Source organism: Homo sapiens, chromosome 4 (genome assembly GCF_000001405.40).
Source record: "Homo sapiens chromosome 4, GRCh38.p14 Primary Assembly".
Classification (NCBI taxonomy): Eukaryota; Metazoa; Chordata; class Mammalia; order Primates; family Hominidae; genus Homo; species Homo sapiens.
The window spans coordinates 124,169,079-124,191,920 of NC_000004.12; the positions used below are offsets into that span (position 1 = coordinate 124,169,079).

At 36.2% G+C, this 22,842-nt stretch overlaps 2 long non-coding RNA genes across 4 annotated transcripts in view; one reads left to right on the forward strand and one right to left on the reverse strand.

Annotated features, from left to right (window-relative positions):
* Positions 1-22,842, reverse strand: part of LOC105377407 (uncharacterized) — a 218,744-nt gene that overhangs the window by 135,642 nt on the left and 60,260 nt on the right. Inside the window, exon 2 of the long non-coding RNA XR_939176.3 lies at positions 19,066-19,130. This is a non-coding gene — a long non-coding RNA (uncharacterized LOC105377407). The remainder of the gene's footprint in view (positions 1-19,065; positions 19,131-22,842) is intronic.
* Positions 15,475-22,842, forward strand: part of LOC105377406 (uncharacterized) — a 129,167-nt gene continuing 121,799 nt past the window's right edge. For 2 of the 3 annotated variants that reach the window (XR_001741817.2, XR_001741818.2), the window contains exon 1: positions 15,475-16,281. This is a non-coding gene — a long non-coding RNA (uncharacterized LOC105377406). The remainder of the gene's footprint in view (positions 16,282-22,842) is intronic. The other variant, XR_001741813.2, reaches the window with a different exon arrangement.

Here is a 22,842-nt window from a genome sequence, read left to right on the forward strand (position 1 = left end):
CAGGATATCATCCACAAGAACTTCCCCGGCCTAGCAAGATAGGTCAACATTGAAATTCAGGAAATCCAGAGAACCTAGTAAGATACCCCATGAGAAGATGAAACCCAAGACACATAACCATCAGATTCTCCAAGATTGTAATGAAGGAAAAAATATTAAGGGCAGCCAGAGAGAAAGACCAGGTCACCTACAAAGAGAAGACCATCAGAATAACAGTGGACCTCTCAGCAGAAACCCTACAGGCCAGAAGAGATTGAGGGCCAATATTTAACATTATTAATAAAAATAATTCCCAACCCAGAATCTCATATCCAGCTAAACTAAGCTTCAGAAGCGAAGGGGAAATAAAATCCTTTTCAGACAAGAAAATGCTGAGGGAAATCATTATCACCAGGCCTGCCTTGCAAGAGCTCCTGAAGAAAGCCTCAATATGAGAAGGAAAAACCATTACCAGCCACTACACAAACACGTTGAAGTAACACACCATTGACACTATGAAGTAACTGCATCAACAAGTCTGCAAAATAACCAGCTAGCTTCATGATGACAGGGTCAAATTCATACATAACAATATTAACCTTAAATGTAAATGGGCTAAATGCCCCAATTAAAAGACACAGAATGGCAAGCTGGATAAACAGTCAAGATCCATCAGTGTGCTGTATTCAAGAGACCCAGCTCATGTTCAAAGATACACATTGGCTTAAAATAAAGGGATAGAGGAAAAATCTACCAAGCAAATGGAAAGCAGAAAAAAGCAGAGGTTGCAATACTAGTTTCTGAGAAAAGAGACTTTAAACCAGCAAAGATCAAAGAAGACAAAGAAGGGCATTGCATAATGGTGAAGGGTTCAATTCAACAGGAAGAGCTAACTATCTTAAATATATATGCACCCAATACAGGAGCACTCAGATTCATAAAACAAGTTCTTAGAGACCTGCAAAAAGACTTACAATTGTAGTGGGAGACTTTAACACCCCACTGTCAATATTAGAAAGATCATCAAGACAGAAAATTAACGAAGATATTCAGGACTTAAACTCAGCTCTGGTTCAAGCAGACCTGATAGATATCTACAGAACTGTCCACCCAAAATCAACACAAAATACATTCTTCTCAGTGCCACATGGCACGTACTCTAAAATTGATCACACAGTTGGAAGTAAAATATGCCTCAGCAAATGCAAAACAACTAAAATCATAAAAAAACAGTCTCTCAGACCACATAGCTCAATCAAATTAGAACTCAAGATTAAGAAACTCACTCAAAACCACACAACTATATGAAAATTGAACAACCTGCTCCTGAATGACTCCTGGGTAAATAATGAAATTAAGGCAGAAATCAATAAGTTTTTTGAAACCAATAAGAACAAAAAGACAGTGAACCAGAATCTCTGGGACACAGCTAAAGCAGTGTTAAGAAGGAAATTTATAGCACTAAATGCCCACATCAAAAAGCTAGAAAGATCTCAAGTTGACATCTTAATATTACAACTAAAAGAACTAGAGAACCAAGAGCAAACAAACTACAAAGCTAGCAGAAGATGAGAAATAACCAAGATCAAAGCAAAACTGAAGGAAATAGAGACATGAAAAGAAACATAAAAAAATTAATGAATCCAGGATCTGGTTTATTGAAAAAAAGTAATGAAATAGATGGACTGCTAGCTAGACTAATAAAGAAGCAGAGAAAATCAAATCAACATAATACAGTATGCTAAAAAGGATAATACCACTGACCCCACAGAAATACAAACAACCATCAGAGTACACCATAAGCACCTCTATACAAATAAACTAGAAAATCTAGAAGAAATGGATAAATTTCTGGACACATACACCCTCCCAAGACTGAATCAGGAAGAAACTGAATCCCTGAATAGACCAATAATAAGTTCTGAGTTTGAGGCAGTAATAAATAGCTTACCAACCACAAAAAGCCCAGGAACAGATGGATTTACAGCTGAATTCTACCAGAGGTACAAAGAGGAGCTGGTACCATTTCTTCTGAAACTATTCCAAACAATTGAAAAGGAGGAACTTCTCTGTAACTCTTTTTATGATACCAAAATCTGGCAGAGATACAACAACAAAAAAAGAAGGTAAAACTTCAGGCCAACATTCCTAATGAATATCAGTGCAAAAATCCTCAATAAAATACAGGCAAACTGAGTCCAGCAGCACATTAAAAAGCTTATCCACCATGATCAAGTCAGCTTCAACCCAGGGATGCAATGCTGGTTCAACATATGCGAATCAATAAACGTAATTCATCACATAAACAGAACTAAAGACTAAAACCACATGATTATCTCAATAGACACAGAAAAGTTCTTCAATAAAGTTCAACATCCCTTCATGTAAAAAACTCGCAATAAACTAGGTATTGATGGAACATGACTAAAAATAATAAGAACCATTTATGACAAACACACAGCCAATATCAGACTGAATGGGCAAGAGCTGGAAACATTCCTCTTGAAAACCAACACAAGACAAGGACGCACTTTCCTACTGCTCCTATTCAACATAGTATTGGAAGTTATGGCCAGGGCAATCAGGCAAGAGAAAGAAATAAAGTGTATTCAAATAAGAACAGAGGAAGTTAAACTGTCTCTGTTTACAGATTTCATGATTCTATATCTGGAAAACCCCATCATCTCAATCCAAAAACTTCTTAAACTGATAAGCAACTTCAGCAATCTCTGGATACAAAATCAATGTGCAAAAATCACAAGCATTTCTATACATCAACAGTAGACAAGCAGACAGCAAACTCATGAATGAACTCCCATTTACAATTGCTACAAAGAGAAGAAAATACCGAGGAATACAGCTAACAAGGGAAATGAAAGACCTCTTCAAGAAGAACTAAAACCACTGTTGAAGGAAATCAGAGAGGACACAAACAAATGGAAAACATTCCATGCTCATGGATAGGAAGAGTCAATATCATGAAAATGGCCATACTGCTCAAAGTTATTTATAGATTCTATGCTATTCCCATTAAATTATCATTGACATTTTTCACAAAATTAGAAAAAAAAAACTACCTTTAAATTCATATGGAGCCAAGAAAGAGCCCATATAGCCAAGACAATTCTAAGCTAAAAGAATAAAGCTGGAGGCATCACACTACCTGACCTCAAACTATACTGCAAGACTTAAGTAACCAAAACAGCATGGTACTGGTATAAAAACAGACCGTGGACCAATGGAACAGAATAGAGAAATCAGAAATAAGACCATGTATCTACAACCATCTGATTTTTGACAAACCTGACAAGTAATGGGGAAAAGATTCCCTATTTATTAAATGGTGCTGGGAGAACTGGCTAGCCATATGCAAAAATTGAAAGTGGACCCCTTCCTTACACCTTATACAAAAATTAACTCAAGATGGATTAAAAACTTTAAAACCCCAAACTATAAAAATCCTAGAGGAAAATCTAGGCAATATCATTTAGGACATAGGTACCGGCAAAGATTTCAGCACAAAAATGCCAAAACCAATTGCAACAAAATCAAAATTTGACAAATGGGATCTAACTAAACTGAACAGCTTCTGCATAGCAAAAGAAACTATCATCAGAGTAAACAGACAACCTACAGAATGGGAGAAAATTTTTGCAATCTATCCATCTGACAAAGGTCTAATATCCAGAATCTACAAGGAACTTGAACAAATTTACGAGAAAAACACCAAACAACCTCATTAAAAAGTGGGCAAAGGACATGAACAGACACTTCTCAAAGTAAGACATTTATGTGGCCAACAAACATATGAGAAAAACGCTCAACATCACTGATCACTAAAGAAATGCAAATTAAAACCACAATGAGATACCATCTCATGTCAGTCAGAATGGTGACTATTAAAAAGTCAAGAAACAACAGACGCTGGTGAGGCTGTGGATAAATAGGAACACTTTTACACTGTTGGTGGGAATGTAAATTACTTCAATTATTGTGGCAGACAGTGTGGTCATTCCTCAAAGACCTAGAACCAGAAATACCATTTGACCCAGTAATCCCGTTACTGTGTTTATACACAAAGGATATAAATCATTCTGTTACAAAGATAGATGCATGCATATGTTCATTGCAGCAGTATTCACAATAGCAAAAACATGGAATAAACCCAAATGCCCATCAATGATAGATAAGATAAAGAAAATGTGGTACATATACATCACGGAATACTATGCAGCCATAAAAGATACATGCATGTGTATCTTTCTGTTACAAAGATACATTCATGCATATATTCACTGCAGCACACTATTCACAATAGCAAAGACATGGAATCAACCCAATTGCCTATCAATGATAGAATGGATAAAGAAAACATGTACATATACACCATGGAATACTATTTAGACATAAAAAGGAATGAGATCATGTCCTTTGTAGGGACATGGATGCAGCTGGAAGATACTATTCTCAGCAAACTAACACAGGAACAGAAAACCAAACACTACATAGTCTCATGTATAAGTGGGATCTGAACAATGAGAACACATGGACATAGGGAGGGGAACAACACACACTGAGGCCTATTGGGGGCCTGTTGTGGGGAGGGAGAGCATCAGGAAAAATAGCTAATGCATGCAGGGCTTAATACCTAGGTGATGGGTTGATAGGTCCAGCAAACCACCATGGCACACGTTTACCTATGTAACAAACCTGCACATTCTGCACGTGTATCTGAGAACCTAACATAAAATAAAATATACAGTTTAAAAAAAACTAATTTGGTATTACTTTTGTTTAATTTTCATATTCAAATGAAGCTCAAGTTAAAATAATATTTGGTAGAGAGTATAAGTGAGGTAAATTACACTTTTTATTTGATCTCCTCCTAAAGAGAAGGCCCTAGGGTGTGTGTGTGTTTCACGATATAAGAAAGTGAAGTAATATAATGTAGTGGTTGCTGTAAGAGGTTGGTTTTATGTTTCCGTGAAAGTAAACTGAAGGAAATTATAAAATTCCTTTCCCAGGAGATCTTTAATAGTGTCATGGGTTGCATCTGCTGCAATCTTTATGACAAATTCTTCCTGCAGGCAGAGTAATGGATTTTGAAGACCTTTCATGGAATTTTATATCCCCAAGGGTATATGTAATTGAGTCCAGAAATTAAAAGGCACAAGGACTTGAAAGTCTATTCTCCTCAAACAAGTTAGTTTTCTGACCTTGGATTTCAGTTTCTTCATCTGTGAAGTTATTCTTGTTCAAATAGAACAGTATTCTTAACATTTTATGTTGTGGAACACAATCTTGGGGAGGGGATGTCATCAATTTTTTGAAGTTTATCCATTAACTCTCTGGGGTCCACAGGATTTACATTAAATACTAGAATCAATGATTTATAAGGTAACACAGTGAAGTTTGATTCTCACATCTAACATTACTAGAGTGTTAGGAAAATAAATAGGAGACATCTGTTCTTAGGAAAGCGATAATCTCATATGGAAGGCACAGCATACACTCATATAGAAAAGACCTAAGAATGCTTCAATGTGGTGTATCATGAGCTCAAATGCAAATTATACGTATCAGGGGACAGAGAACAGCCACACCAGTGGGAAAGAGGAAAAGGATACAGGTAGATTCAAGTCAAGGGGAAACATTTCAAGTAGATGCAAGGAGGAACAGGCAAGTGAACCCTTAAAAACTCAAAACTATTGTAAGAGTTGACAGAAACATATTCTTGATCAAAGCAAGAAACCATATTAAAGAATAAAGAGAACAAGTTGTTGGATTTCCTTGAATATCAAGCAGAAGTATTTAATGTAATTGCCTGGCAGTGGAGTACCACTGTAGTTAAACTGCAAAGATTTGAAGTTGAGATGTATTTTAAAGAAGATGATTCTGTGTAGACAGGGAAAAGAGTGAGGACACCAGACTATATAGAAATCTACTTTAACTGTCAAGGGAAAAGTGAAATAAGGGCACATAGGGTGGTGATTATGTCAGCAGAATTAGAAAAACTGCTGATCAAAAATATGATTACAAGTAATAGGATGAATGTGCCAAAGCATTATAAAAAATGAAAAGGTAAGCACGAATACAAGCCCAGTGATTCAAAATTGTGGGAACAGCCTTTAAGGTGATGAGGACTTTAGACCCAGGTAACATATGTGTGACCTGAGAGCCTAGCTTCAGCTTTTGAAGAGGTGAGGTCGGGGGTGTTAAGGTGGTAATTGGGCATCCCAATAGTGAACTCTTGAAACAATTAGAGCAGAAGCAAGCAGTCTTAGATAATTTAAGACAGATTCAAGAAATATGTCTACCAGAAAACTGGGATTTTTTACTTAAGTTTCTTACTGGTCCAACAAATTTATTTAGAATTTATTTTAGTGTTTAAATGTCTGCCTTGTAACATAGATGTTTTTTAGTACTAAAAGCTGTTTATTTGGAAAGCTTTTCATTCTTTTAAGATTTTGGAAATCATTGCAATGAGAATCCTTTCAATTTATGCTCCTTTGCAAAAATAAATTGATCTTGTTTAATTAAAACAAGTTAATCTTGTTTTACAATGAAAGCACTAAGGTACATAAAATGTTATCAGGAGAGATCTCACCAATTCTTAAAGCCAGAGAGTTAATTTTCCACACTGATTTCTTTCTGCAATGTTGTATCCTGGGACAAATTCTTTCATATCATTGTTGTGTCTAGCTTTCTGATATAACTTGAATGTAGTTTTGGAACAAACGACATTCTTCAGACAATAGTAATTCTATTCAAGTCTGTTGAACATATCCACATAACACAGATATATATATATGTATATATATATACATAATACAATAACAATATGTCTCCTAAAAATCTATTTCTCAATGTCTTAAAGGACAGTGTTCAGGGCCTTCTTGAGGGGAAATGTTAGAGGTGGGTGTGTATATTACATATGATAAATTCACTCCAATATATAGAATCCCTAAGTGTTTGGATTCTTCTCTCACACTATTTCAAGGCATTTATGACATATCCACTTTTTATATTGGAGATCACTATTGAGTCCTAAGTTTACTAAAAGCATTCAGGCGAGCACATTAGAACCACTTCTAACTGCTCCAGTTCACACACTGAATTCGGACTCTGGTACGTGCACACGTATATTGATAAACTCAGATCAGTCTGAATTTATGTTCTTCCCTATTTAGTCTAGTTCTCTAAGACTGTATTCTCACAGGTATCCTTCAGATATTATATAAGCATTTTTACATATATATAATATTTATATTATATACTATTATAAAATCTGTTGTTATTTTGAATACCTAAGCCCCTTTCTCTCAGATTTAACTTTGTAATTGCCCCTCAGGGTGTCCTAGAAACTAACTCTGGATGAGTACGGGTGTTTTATGTTGGCTAGAGATGCTGGTGAAAGTTTATGTATTAAATTGGCTACCGAATTTCAGTGGAGAGACAAGAATTCCAGAGTATCAGAGGCCAAGCAATGAGGCGGAGACCTTAGTTGCTGAGGCAAGGAGGAAAAGCTGATAATAATCCCAATGTGTGATTCTGAGAGATGTCTGGTAATGGTCACTCAATCACTAAGTCCCAAAGCCCATATCAAGGAGTACTCCTCTAAGATCTACCTAATCTGTTTAAACTCAAATCTAGGCTTCTCTCCTTTCTTTTGAGGCTTTGCTCAAATGTCACTTTTTTGTGTGAGATTTTTCCTGCTAACCTATTTTACATGCACATACCCCTATCTAGAACTTTATTCTCTCTGAAGTGTATGCTCTGTCTCCCCTAACATAACCAGAGGCATGTGAAAACAGGGAAGTTGAACACCTGAGGATGCACCTGAACTTGGGCCAGCACTAGCACAGCACTTGTCAAGGGCACACAATTTAAAAACCTTATCAAGGTAGAAAATATTTAAATGCAATAATTGAAGAAAAGTTAATGTGAAAAACCCATAATGAAAAAAAATCAAAATTTTAACTAAAGATAACATCACTAATAATACCATGCTGAGCCATATTGGAGACTGAAGCAAAAGGAAAAATCAGTAATTCTGCTCTGGTGGTCTGGAATTTTCAAAATATTCCTTTCCCAGTAAAGGGTGAGCTGCAGCACCCAACACCCCTACAACTAAGAAAGAAGCACAGCATTTAAATAACATCTTTAGATTTTGGAGGGCACATATACCTCATTTGGGGATGTTTCTCTGATGATTGACTCACCCACAAAGCTACCAACTTTCAGTCAAGCTCAGAGCAGAAGTTTTTCCACTTGGTTCCAGCTGCTCATGCTACTTATATTTTAGGGAATTAATATTACTAATGGGTCTATGGCAGATAAGGATCTCCATAGAGATTGCAGAAAACCCTGATAGGATAATAGCAGCAGAGGCTCTGGGTTTGGGAACAAATAATTATCTTTCTCTCCTTCTTCTTCTCTCAATTTTGGCAGTGTCCATCTCCCAGTTTAGAGACTGAAGTACTATATAGAGGCTTTCCACCTCTATATGCAGGTAGAATGTGTGCATATAAGTTAGGTTCTGTCAATCAGATATTTTTATTGCAGACTTTGGTTTAGAATCTAATGATCAAAAGAAGCAGATACCATGGACAATTCATTCTTCTGTGGGAAGAAGTAGCTCCTTAATTTCCAGGGGTAGCTGGAGTTCTAGTGACAGCACCAGTGTCTGCTCAGTAATGGCAACAGTGGTGGTTTCACTGAACAATTCTGCACATTATTATAGTGTCATGTCTGACAGCATAGCCTCCAAACCTAGTTATGTGCCCCCTCTGGAAGTTGTGTGAGCTATCCTATTTACTTTACTTTCTTTATTATGATTAGTTACCCAGAGATTGTTTCTGTTACTCACTTGACTCATATATCAATGTATAGATCCCACCAAATGAAGAATAAACATCAAAATTTATTTCAATCTTCAGTAGTTTAGCCTCTTAAGAGAAAGTATATTTAATTTAGCTTTTCCATTAAACAGTACCTGAAACGTTACTCAAGCATTTCTTAATCGATCTTCCTTTTGCCTGTGCATAGTGACTTGCACATACAGTGTGAGTCACATAAATACTCTTGCTGAGTGAACAACAATGAATATGACTCATATTGTTAAGTAAATCATCCATTGTAATATATCCTAAATCCTTGCCTTACCACCAATTCTATATAAACAAACAAGGAGTAGTGGGTATTTGAGCAGATTTACAACGGTAGCCATTGTTACAGCACTGAGAAGGTATCCTTAGACAGGTGGACCTGTGTGAAATAAAGGAGGTACATTTCTCTTGGAGGAGCGGATTGTATTTTCAAATGTACTTTAGAACCTAGGATGCCTTGTGCAGTAATAACCAAAGCCTTAGAAGTTTAGCCTCTTTGAGAAATTCACAATTGGATCACAGTTCACTGCAGCTCAGTAGGTAAGAGGAAGCTTTGCATACACCTGGGATAAAATTGAGGCTAAAAGTCCCTGCTTAGTCATAGACACCCTCCCTTTCCTACTACTTGCATCTAGCAGATCCCGGTGGGCCTTCTGGATGCCTAAATCTGCCTGGCCTCACTGCCCAAGCATGGTGTGATTAAAAGAGATAGATGCCAAGAGGAGTTAAGGGTGCCAGCTGGGATGTTGAAAGCAAAGGCAAGTTCCTCAATGGTGAATGAATCTGTGTGTCTGCTGCTTCTCTGCCATGCATTTCACAATGAAGTTTAGCCTCTTTGGGGAAGCTATTTGGGGAATATCATAAAAATCTTCCTGAAGACAGACTGTAGTGATTTCTATTTGTGCCTTCATTTCACGTTTGGCTATGGGTTTCGATGGCAACAAGACTCCAGAGGCTGTGGAAACTGGTTAGCAAAGCTACTGATCAAGTGGGCCAAGGGAAACAAAAGCACACAGATTAGTCAGTGGTGAGTTTCATGCAGTTTACAAATGTGTCGCTACTTCAGTGTCCTGTTCCTTCCCAGAGGATGAAGCCCCATGGTGCCATGTAAGTAGCACCAGAGGTGAGTATTCTTCCTCTTCCCCCTGGGAAACAAGAAACTGAAGTTTTGTTAATGCAACAAATTCTTCGACAGACTCTGAGCTGTAGATAAGTAGAATCCATCCCCTCACAGGGAAGGCTTTTAGCCAGAAGTTTTTAGAGCAAAGTGATCCCCTACTGAAGGTGATAACCCAAGTGACATATTCAAAGATGTGACAAGCATGATAAATACACCTTCTTGGAAACTGGATCCAGAAAGCTATGTGTCCAGGGGTGGCTCCTGCCTGTCTCTAACACCTGTTCCCCTTACACCTATAAATGGTCAATGTTAATCAGTAGTGGTTACTTTTGGTGATGTTTCTTCAATCCCCAACCCAAGCCACCTTCATCTCCCAAATGACATTAGGTCCATGGCATACATGATAATCACTGGAATTCAAAGGTGGCATCAAAATTGGGAGATCTGCATCCTCTCATCCTTGCCAAGGCAATCACATTAATTCTGCTAACAGCTTGGTAAGTCAGCCAGCCTAGTAAACACTCCTGTCTTAGAAGGGAAATCCAGACATTCGTGTTGGTTCCTACTGTTTCTCCCCCTCTGTGTGATCTTGAGAATCTTGCCAAGGGGGCTGATGGCTGTCATCTGATGATGCCATGTGAAGGCTTTAATGAACTGGCATTTCCTGTTGCTGAGCTGCCATGTCTGAAGGCCAAAGCAAACAGGGTTTAGGCTCTTTGGATCCCAAACTGTTTTTGTCTCTTTCTCTTCCTACTTCTGATCCAGTCTGCAGGTCTGCTCACCTCTCTTTCTCAATCTCACCTGTGTACATGTGCAATATGAAGGTCAGATGCCAGGTGCTGCCTTCCAACCAGACCAAACCCTTGAGAAAAGTACGACCTGCGGGGAGCGGGGTGTGATGCCGGCTTTTTTCTGAGACACAGGGGAAACCTTGGCTAAAAGTGTTTCCTGTAAGTTGAGATGGCTGGAAGCCTAAAGCTGTTTTGCTTCAAAGTTCTTGTTACTGCTAATTGAAACATATGAGAAAGGAATAAAAATGCTGAAGTTAAGAAAGTAGAAGTTGGGAGTAGGAAAGTAAGAAAGAGTATTGCCAACTCAACTGGCCTAAGCATTTATTTGCAATGTTTCTTACTATATGATAATCAATGAATTATATCTTCATACCAGTAAAAAATGACAATGCCATGGAAGAATTTGGGTTTAATGTCATTTCTTAAAGGTCTGGGTTAATTCACACTGGCAAGGCTGCAGAGTTGGCAGGTTAGTGACTGTCCTTCTCTAGGACAGGTGAATGGCAGTTTTAGACTTGGGCAGGGCATGACTTGCACAGATCTCTGCAGTAGCCCAGGGCACCAGCAGTTGAGGGTCAAGATTTTTGGTATCCTTATCTATCAAGATCACAGGATAATGCTTTTCTCTGTCTGTTGTCAGGGATGGAATGGGGTGACACATGAAATAAAGGGAGAGTCTAGGGCATTGTTTTCTTCCAATGTTTTTGTTTGTTTGTTTATTTGTTTGTTTTTTTGAGGCGGAGTCTCGCTCTGTCTCCCAGGCTGGAGTGCAGTGGCGCGATCTCGGCTCACTGCAAGCTCCGCCTCCCAGGTTCACGCTATTCTCCCGCCTCAGCCTCCCGAGTAGCTGGGACTACAGGCGCCCACCACCGTGCCCGGCTAATTTTTTTTTGTATTTTTTAGTAGAGACGGGGTTTCACCGTGTTAGCCAGGATGTTCTCGATCTCCTGACCTCGTGATCCGCCCGCCTCGGCCTCCCAAAGTGCTGGGATTACAGGCGTGAGCCACTGCACCTGGCCTCTTCCAATGTTTTGAGGGTAACATACCTACTATAAAATATCTTGGCCAAGGTATCACAACCCTAAAATTCAGGCAACTATTTATCATTTTCCCTCAACATTTTTCACTGAAATACTCCTCCACAGGGCCATTCAGATTCTTCCAAATTTCTTATTTTGTTTCCTCTATTTTGTGCTTTTCCAAGCGTCAGGAAATATATTTATTTTTATTGCAGGAAGAAATTAGTATTTCTGAGACTACATAGATCACCAGTTTTCTCTTGAGGATGACCATTTTCCCAGAACTAATTGAATCTGACTCCTTCCTCTGTGCAGCTTCATCAGGAAATATGGTTTTGCTCAATGTAGCAGTGTCAACTTAGTAACTGGACAACTCATGTGCTAACAATGCTGGACAGTTTTCTTTAAATTTATAATTTATGCTGCAATGGCTCTTTTTCTTTATTGTATTGGCTTTGATGGAGTAACACGTCAAAATGGCTAAAGGGTACAAGCAACTAATGTAAATTATTAGTGAAATGCTACACATAAAAGACATTAAACATTCAACATTGTGGTTTGTAAACAGTAGGCAGGGAGTTATAACAAAAAGCCCATTTGTAGGCAAATATTTAGTTTTGACTTCTTCAAAGTTTTATGAAGATGAGAGACAATCCTAAACCCCAGAGGAGGGAGCTTATAAGAACGAAGTTGACAATGAGCCACATGGAAACAAATTCATGAAGAGGCCACAGACCTAGAAAGAGCTGGAAACATTGACCAGGCAACAAAGAAGACCAAACCAGGAGAATGAGGCCAAAGCCTTCCTAGTGCATGAAAATGACAAGGATTTGCTGATTATTTAGCCTCAAAAACTGCACAGAAACAACCAATTGCTGGGCCATGGATCCTGAATCTGATCATCCATGAAGAAGGTGTGAGTAGGCCTCAGGCACATGGGCTCCAGAAGTGACAACTAAATAGCAGGATCCTGGGACGGTGAGCTGTTACTCATTTTCACATTCTACTATCTGGATGGAAGGAGGAGTGAGGAAGATGCATTTTTTTTGTTTTGTTGGTCTTATTACCAATTTAGTATGTTAATTATTATTAAAAAATAGAAAATGAAAACAAGAAAAAAAAAGAAAAAGCAATTACCTAGTTTGGTTAATATGGTTAGGCTCTGTGTCCCCACCCAAATCTTACCCTGAATTCTAATAATCCCCATGTGTCAAGGGTGGGGTCAGGTGGAGATAATTGAATCATGGGGGTGGTTGCCCCATACTGTTGTGGTAATAGTGAATAAGTCTCATGAGATCTGGGTTTTATAAATGGGAGTTCCCCTGCACGTGCTCTCTTGCCTGCCACCATGTAAGTCGTGGCTTTGCTCTTCTTTCACCTTCCACCATGATTATGAGTCCTTCGCAGCCATGTGGAACTGTGAGTCCATTAAACCTCTTTCCTTTATAAATGACCCAGTCTCAGGTATGTCTTTATTAGAAGCAAGAGAATGGACTAATACACTGGTATTTCATACTTGAATAGAATATCTTCACATGTATATCTCATAGGCATTTCAAATTCAATATAGCCTACATTAAACTATTAATATTCCCAAATCTTCCCTTCAAAATATAGACTCCGGTCTTAGTTAATGATACTGCTGTCTAACTAATCACTCAGGCCAGATACCCAGGATCATTCATGATTTCTCTTTCTCCCTTTCCTTGGTCCCACCAGGTCTTATTAATTTGATTATCTAAATTATTCTGGAATTAATTTTCTCCTCCCTAGTTCCCTGCTGTTGCCTTACCTTATAGACTTGTTATCTTTCACACAAATGACTGAAATAGTCTCTAATCAATCTACCAGATGTAAGTCTCTCTCCTACAAATCTCTTATAGTCAATATCATTAGTCTATCTAAAACAAAATGTTGACTATATTTCTCTTTTAAATGCACTTCAATCTTTTTGCTAACTGCCTAGCAGAACTCACAAACTATCTGCCCACTTGTTTAATCATCAGGATAGTTTATGTTGTATGGCTTGAGCCAAACAAATGAATAAGGATATAGAAAAGCTTTCATCATTAAGAAAATTTTGCTTAATTATCTATATTAAAATTAAATACTTCCAATTATTAGGAAACAACTTTCAGAGAGTGAAATTTCAAGACACATTGAATGAGGAGATATTTGCAATTAATATTTCTGGCAAAGGACTTATATTCAAAATATGAAAGGTTCTCTTAAAATTTAATTTTAAGAGGTAGCCAACCCAGTTAATAAAACAGGCAAAGGATTAACAGGCATTGCATAACAAAGTATATCTCAATGACCAATAAACATACGAAAAGGAGCTCAAGTTAAAAACATAATGGACTATTACTATCTGTCTATCAGAATGGCTAAGATGAAAATTCCAGACCATGTGAGAGAGGACACTAAACAGGAGGAATGTTCATACATTGTTAGTGAGAATGAAATTGGTAAAACCCACTTGTACCAACGCATTCTATGACAGTATTCCCTAAGCTGAATATATGCATGCCTTATGAAAGCAATTCTACTTTAGGTAAGTACACAATAGAGAGTCATAAATATCCATCAAAAGACAATGCAAACATCCATCAACAATAGAATAGATAAAGCAACTGTGGAATACTTTACAAAAACAAGAATAAGAAACCTAATGCCACATTCCAAACATAAATCTCAAAACCACAATGATCAGTAAAAGAAATCAGATGCAAAATGTGTCCACGCTGAATTATTCCACATATGTACATATCAAAACCAGAGAAAACAAATCTGCGATATGAGAAATCACATCAGTAATTACTCTTTGAAAAAGGGATGGGTACTAATCAGGAGGAGGCTCAAGGGGACTTTCTAAGAAGCTGGTACGATTCTATTTCTATTTCACTGCTTGGTAAGTGGGAGTGTTCACGTTGTGAGGGTTCATTGAGCCTTACATTTTTTATTGTTCTTTTTTCTGTCTATATATATATCCTTCAGCAAAAAGCCTTAGATTATATCATTGAAAAAATAAATACAGGAACACTTTTTAATGAGACAGATAATTTTTTAATGCAACTTAATCAAACTGATTTTATTCCTGCTTTTAGACTATATTTTCTTTGTACATATCCAATTTGTATTACACAACTTCATCCTTACTGATTTATTTTCTAACATACAAGTTATACTATTGCCTTTCAAGGGCTTTAAATGAGCCTCTGTCCTTCTCACCATGTATTTCACAACAGAAAATCCATCCACTGAATAGCTGTTAAATTACTAAAGTATGCTCTCTTCCTGCCTATATCATATTACTTAGGAGAGGAAAATTTTATAGCCCATGAAAATTTAGGTACTCACCTAACATAATTATAAAATCTGTATTCACAAGGATTACTCATTAATTTGTTCTAATATAGAAATAAACACATTATTATAAAAAATAAAATATTTTTTGTCTCTGGGCCTTATATAACACAAGATTACTGAACAAATAAAAATATATATTATGACACATTTGTTGCTCTTTCTCTTCCCTTCATATTAAAATAAAAAAAGATGTGTCAGTAAATAATCAGTATGATATTTATCAAGAAATCAAGAATGTATAAAACCAGTCTAGAGAGCTCATGAGAATTAACAACCCTAAATATTTTTCAATCTTTATGCTTAGAATTCCACATTTATTAATCTCAACTGATATACTTGAGACTAATAAATGTGGAATTGTAAGCATAAAGATTGAAAAATATTATATAAAATTTTATCAAAGGTTGTTTAAGAGGAACAAACCCTTACTCGATGACACACTTCTTCGGAAAAGAGTGAATTTCTAGGAATTGTCAGACTCGTTTACTACAAAAATATATTTATTGTATTAGAATATATTTGTCATTGTTTCCAATGATAAGGCTTAAAAATATATAAGAAGGATTCAGGCTGAAAAGTATTGTGTAAAGCATAAAATTCAGGTGTAAGTACTAAGAAATTTTGAAGACTTACAAACAGGCAAGGATCAAATACTTCTTGTTACGTAAATCATGTTTTATTTGTAGAACATTGTGAAGCATTCATAACAAAATCTGAGATTCACCTGGTTTCAGTTTCAAGTAAATGTGAAACTCAGACTGGTTCAGCAAAAGTTTTGCCAAGGTTCATAAACTTTCATCAATGTGGGCTGATTTTTTTGGAAGGGGGTGGGAAGTAGGACTATCCAATAATTTTTACCATGTTTGGACTAGATTTCTTTGCAAATGAAAACATGCAGATGAAAGCCAAAGGAGGTAAAATGCAGACAATCTTATGCTTACTTTTTATAAATACGATCTGGTGCAAATTTTCTTTACACTTTTAAGAAAAGTTTTATGTCCTTTTTGGCAGGCCAAAAAAAAAAATCTTAGTTTGATCTTCTTTTCTACATAGAAAACTTACAACAGAAAATTACCTGTGATGCCACTTTTCATGAAAAACCAATAGAAGTGAACGTAAGTATATTTATATAGCAATAACAGTATCAATATTACTGTTTTAAATGGCTTATGTGTATTATATAATTTATTCTTACTATAATTCTCTATGGTAGGTCCTTTTACAAACAAAAGTAAGTTTTAGAGAAAGATTAAATAATTTGTCCAATGTCATGCAACTTAAGTTGCAAAACCAAAATTTAACCCAGGGAATATAACTATAGAGACCAGACTCTTAACCATTATAATATTGTGGCAGTCACTACTATTCTAGTTGCCTATCCCAAATTCATTCTTCTTTTCTTTCTTTGTACTAAGACATCAGCAATGATTACTGTACAGAGAAATAGAAGGAGACTGGACTTTTGATTATTTCATTGATCCCGTTACGAACCTAGTTCTTTCTACTTCTAGATTCCTTGTTACCAGAGAAATAGAAAAGTCTGTACTTATTTAAGCCTCATTATAACTACTCCTAAAGGGTCAGTGATATTACCTCCCACCTTGTCTTATCATAATTATAGGTGTAAAAAAGACAATCAATCAGTACCCAACACAAAATCTGAATGTAGTTGTACTATTAAGGCACAGTCTTTCTGAGAAAACCAAGAGCTTACAAAGGGGTTTGGGAAGCTTGGTGTTCAAGTATTGATGAACTGTCAGAAGCAGAAATATTTAGGAATTGGTTGATTATTTTTGGCTAGGAAACTGGTTATTTGAGTGAGACTATCACTGATTAGTTGACTTGCAGAAATATATTTACTCAGTAAGGTTACCGCTAATTGGCTGACCTCAGAAATAACAGATTTTCACTAGTGGTTGCCTTTCTATGGCGCGGTTACAGAAGCAAGATTTCACTTTGATATGGTTTGGATGTATGTCCCCTCCAAAGCTCAAGTTGAAATGTAATCTCCAGTGTTGGCAGTGGGTCTGTTTGGGTCATGGGGGTGGGTCCCTCAGAAATGCTTGGTGCTGTCCTCACGGTAATGACTGAGTTCTCACTCTATTAGTTCACATTAGAGCTGGTTGTTTAAAAGATCCTGGAACCTCCTTCTCTCTCTTGGTCCCTCTCTCACCATGTGACACATCTGGTCACCTTTGTCATCTGCCACAAGTAAAAGCTTCTGGAGGCTTCACTAGAAGCCAAGCAGATGTTGGTACCATTGTTGTACAGCCTGCAGAACTATATGCAAAATAAACCTCTTTTCTTTATAAATTACCCAGGCTCAGGTGTTTCTTTATAGCAACACAAAATGGACTGACACATACATATTTACTTGAATGTTTAACAGCTTGGTTCTGGTGGTTATTTGTTGGTATGATAAAGAACAAACAGTTCTTTCCTATAAGGTTAATGGCTTCTTACCTTCAAAAAGTTTCATACAAATAGTAGGAAGATCACCAAGAAGTTACAGTAGTTCAGGATTTCCTGGACTAGATTTTGAGTATCTTTATTTTTGTATCTTGACCTTATGCTAAGGTCATTAAGGGATATTCATAGTTTGTTTGATTTGGTTTAGCTTTTAGAAAGTAACATACCCATTCTCACTTTATAATACTGATGTAAAAATCCTGTTATGCGAATAAATAAATAAAACGCAGGGACTCTGTAGAGAAAATGTGCTTTAAAATTGTTTTCTAAAACACTTTCTACCCATTTGAAAAACTGAGTTTCAAAAGACTGAATTACTTTCATTAAAAAAGCAAAATAAAACTCATGTTTCTCAACTTTTAATCTAATTGTTTCTCAAAACCTCAAAATAAAATGACTGCATTAATTATTTAGTCTTAGGATAGAATAAACAAGAAAATGCGATATGCAATGCAAATGGATTTTGAGGTATTTATTTTGAGAAGATGATTGAAAGAGGAAATCAATCAGTCATTAAAATTCAGCTCTGATTTACAATTTTCATAAAATTAATATGTAAGTATAACTAAGTATACTTCTACTCATTTTCACTTAAATCTATCAATATATAGTCTTTCCTCAGTATCCTTGGGGAATTGCTTCCAGGACCCCCATGGATACCAAAATCCACCAGTGTTCAAGTTCCTTATATGAAACGTTGTCGTATTTGCATATAACTTATGTAAATTATCCTGTATACTTTAAATCACATCTAGATTACTTATAATACCTAATACAATGTACATTCTATGTTAATAGTTTTTATGCTACACTTCTAGGAAATAATGACAAGAAAAAGTCTGTACATGTTTACTACAGATGGAACCATTCATTTTTTTCCCCATGGATTTTCAATCAGTGGTTGATTGAATCCATTAATGGGGAACCAATGGATATGGAGACCCAACTGTATATGAAATAAATATATAGTGGTGATCTTTTAAAAATAAGTAAGTTTAGTGTTAGGCTAGAAGAAACAATTTTCCTTATTAGGTGTTAGTACAAAACTTTAATTTATGAATTGTTTTATCCCTGGAGATCACTTTGATATGCAAATTGCATTTAGGAAAATAAATTTCAAACTGAGTAAAATTATTGTTTGAATTTTTAAAAGTAATCACAAAATATAACATACCAGTTTTCTTAAAATAATAAAGGAAGTAACAAAATCAAAATGTATTAGTGGAAAATCAGTATATTGTCCGTTAAAATGAAAATACTTCCACATATAGAAGCTTCTGAAATAGTAATTTCATTGTTAATTAAACACTAACATTTACATGCCATATGGCCATATGTTACCATGGTTCTTTGCTATGATACCCCATTCTACTTCTAAAGTTAAAATTGATTTAGTGAGCAGTCCAGACAATATAAGACCCTTTACTTACTTTTGCCCTCTGAAAGGGATATGCATATTTTCGGGTTAGGTGTTCCATGGTCAGCCAATTTCAGACTGTGGGGAAAGACAATTGTTCATCAGTGGTGCTCTGCGAGAATGATGACTAGAGTACAACCCAGAGAGAATTAGAGTACTAACATAACTGGACTCTCCCTGAACAAACCTTTGAGTAAGTGTACAGATTGTTGGGAATTACTAGGAAGAAAGAGGGAGTCGAGTTACTAAAACATATAATTCATAACTGAAGGCAGAAATGGTTTCTTGAAATGGCCTGGTGTTTATATTAAGGATGCCCCAGGCTGAAGTACTGTGAAACTATGGCACTATGGTATATAAAACATGTCATAATTACAAAGCTACTGAAAAAGCACTTAATACTTTTATTCAATTTCAGTTTGCTAAAGTACAAGCAAACTTAAGTAAACTATAATGCATACATGAATATCTTCTTACAAATTTTCTTATGTGAAAAAAATTACTAGTTAAATCATATTGCTTTGATACAGACTTGGTTTTTTGTTTTTTTTGGGGGGGCAGCATTCATAAATAGGAGTTGTGCAGGGGCATATGATGTGCTATTTTTAGAATCCTGTCCTGTTTCCATTTTCCTTTCAATTCCACAGAACAAATGGAAGTATTTAAGAATCCTATACACAAATCTGAATGACCTTACAATTCTTTATTCAAATAAAATTCTTGTATTTTTATAGATCACATGTATAATTGAAAGTCAAGCAGCCAAGGACAAGCTTTCACAACGATCGCACAGCAGACTCTTGTGACTACTTTTAGGCTTGAGTTTTAAAACTTGAACATTATGTTACTAGGTGTTTTGTTGAAACCTTTTCTATTGCCATGAAGAGCTGGAGAAAGGAGATAAATTACATAGTTAATAAGTTATCCCTTAGTGGAGCAAATATACAAATTCATAGCTGCCTAAACATGAGTTTGGTAAGGTTTATAATAAAAAGATTATAGTTATTTTCTCAGGAAATAAAACTAGCCAAGTGGTAGGATTGTTCTCTAAAACAGATGCTATTTATTGCATGTGTATTCCCATTTATTATAATTTCCTGGCCCCTTTGTAGTTCAATCCTGACAACTGTAAGTCAACAGAAAAGATGAGACACAGTGGTAAATCAAAGTGAAGAACAATTATTTAAATAAGTGGAAAACATGCTTGGTATTGAGGTTATAGACAATTTTTGTAGTATTTAACAGAAAAAGGGTACAGCGTCTGATAGTGCCAAGAGTATAACCAACAGCATTTTCAAAGTCATGAGACCATTTAGTTATTTGGCCTAACTATGCAGAAGAGTAACTAATGCATGGAACATATCAATTGCATTTATTGTTAAGAAAGCTTTTAAAAGTGAAACCACCAATCCTTCAGGCTATTTCTAATTTATTCACTTAATCATTCTGACTTTTGGTAGAAACTTCATCTTCTTCTGGTCAGTCCTAACACAGTAATCTTGGGTTCCATTTGTAACCACGTGCTTGGCTAGGACATTCATTAGAGGTAACACATTCTGTTCTTGATAGCAATCCAGTTGCTTAGCCTCTACCCCAGAAGATTGTATTAAATATGACACTGTTGAGCACTGTGAAATTTCTCTTTGTTTAGACAACACTTGAAGCATATCCTGTGTGTAATATACCAAGGGTAAATGGTGGTCAATCATCTGTTCTTGAAGGCTGCAAGTCTGTCAGTCTTCAATTTAATCACCTTCAGTATGTATACTTTCTTTATTTTTCCACAAGAAAAATGTTCTGAGCATACTGCTGGCTCTGTAAAGCTACAGGATATACTATATAGCTTATTTCTCAATGAAGTATGTTGAATCTTTAACATTGGTTAAAACTGGAAAAAATAAATAACTTTGAACTATATTATAAACTGTCTTCCATTTAAGTCTTGAGTTTTATATCACTAAAATGAGATAGTTAAAGCTGTTGTTTTGACCTATTATGAGTGTTTAGCACATATCCTTCCAGGATTTTCCACCTTGTTTGACACACTTCTTTACGTTTTATTTAAAAAATATAGCATAAGCTTTACAATAGCACATGTGTAATGTAGTCAGTTCAAATGCTGTCTACATAAACTTGACAAGTTTAATTCATGGAAGAAACTGAAATGTTAATAAGGTCATTGTCAGAAGGTTACAACATTTCACTGCTGTAATTGTTATTATTATTTTATCTCTCTTAGCAACACATTATGGTTTGTTAAAGCTAAATATTTCCTTAGAAGACTGACATTGAGTTGACTTGATTTGTAATATGGAGTGTGCTGGTTAAACTACAAAGAATTAATCCTATTATATTTCACAAATAGCACCTGCTCAAGTCTGCTATAGTTGTCTGTCTACATGGAATGTGTCAGAGCAAAATTTGGCAGGACTGACAGACTGAATTCCCAAAAACTCAGAATATTTGTTCTTTATGAAACCTGCACTTTTTTTTAACTACCAAGTATTTGTTTGGAAATTAACCCTGAATTAGCCAGTTTCAAATTACTCTGTCATCACATTTTTTTTTCAAGACTGGATCTCTCTCTGTTGTCCAGGCTGGCAGGCATTGGTGCATGCAAAGATTACTGTAACCTAGAACTCCTGGGCTCAAGAGATCCTCCCACCTAAGCCTCCTGAGTAGCCAGGACTACAGGCACATGCTGCCATGCTTAGCTAATTTTTTATTTTTTGTGGAGATGAGGTCTCACTCTGTTTCCCAGGCTGGTCTCAAACTCCTGGCTTCAAGTAATCCTCTTGCCTCCACCTTCCAAAATGCTAGTATTATAGGCATGAGCCACTGTGCCCAGCCACAGCATGATTTATTCAGTGTGAGATATATAATTAGTATTAAATGCTCTAATATGAGTCTTCTAAAATATCTTTCAAGGGGAATTCAGAATCTTCTAGAGTATCATTGGATACAAAGAAATACTAGTGAACTTGGATATCATGTATTTTGCAGGTTCAGTAAGTAGCTTTATCCAGTTCATTTGGTAAATTGATTATAAAAATGTTCTCTACCCCCTGAGCATTATACTCTGCTGCATGACTTTACAGACCCTGAGTTACAGAAATAGCACATTTTTTCCCTGATATATATCTGTAACTCAGGGTCTGTAAAGTCCCTGGATATATATATATCCGGATATATATATCTGGACTGGCCTTATGATTTGATTTTGCCAATAGAATGCTCTGCCAGTTTTCACTCTTCAAGAAAATTAGCTTGTTTTTACATTCTCTCTCTCCCTTTCTCTTTCTCTCTCCTGACCCTGCCATCACCTCCAAAACAAGTTTGGGCTAGCCTGCTAAAGAGTAACAGATCACTTATAGTAGATGTGATGCTTCCCTTCCTGGGACTTTCTAAACCAATCAACCCTAGATTACCTGTCAGCTTTTTATAGACACTTGAGTGAACCCAGACAAGATCAGCCGAGACAAGTTCAGATCAGCAGAATCACTCAGCTGATTAAGAGACTCATGAGAAATAATAAATTGTTTTAAGCCACTAAGTTTTGAGGTGATAGTTTTTATGCAGCAGAAAAGCAAAAGGGCTTGCTAAGCAATGATCAGGCTCTTTAGTCCTAACAATAACTTGATTTCTAAATTATTACATCAGTCAGCCTGAAATATCAAAGGGAAAAGGCCTGAGAGAACCCTAAGTTTTTACCTCTGGCTCACCTTCAGGCACCACACAGTCAGGAAGTGATGGCTGAAGCAGAGTGGTAAACAGTTTGCCAAAGAGTTGA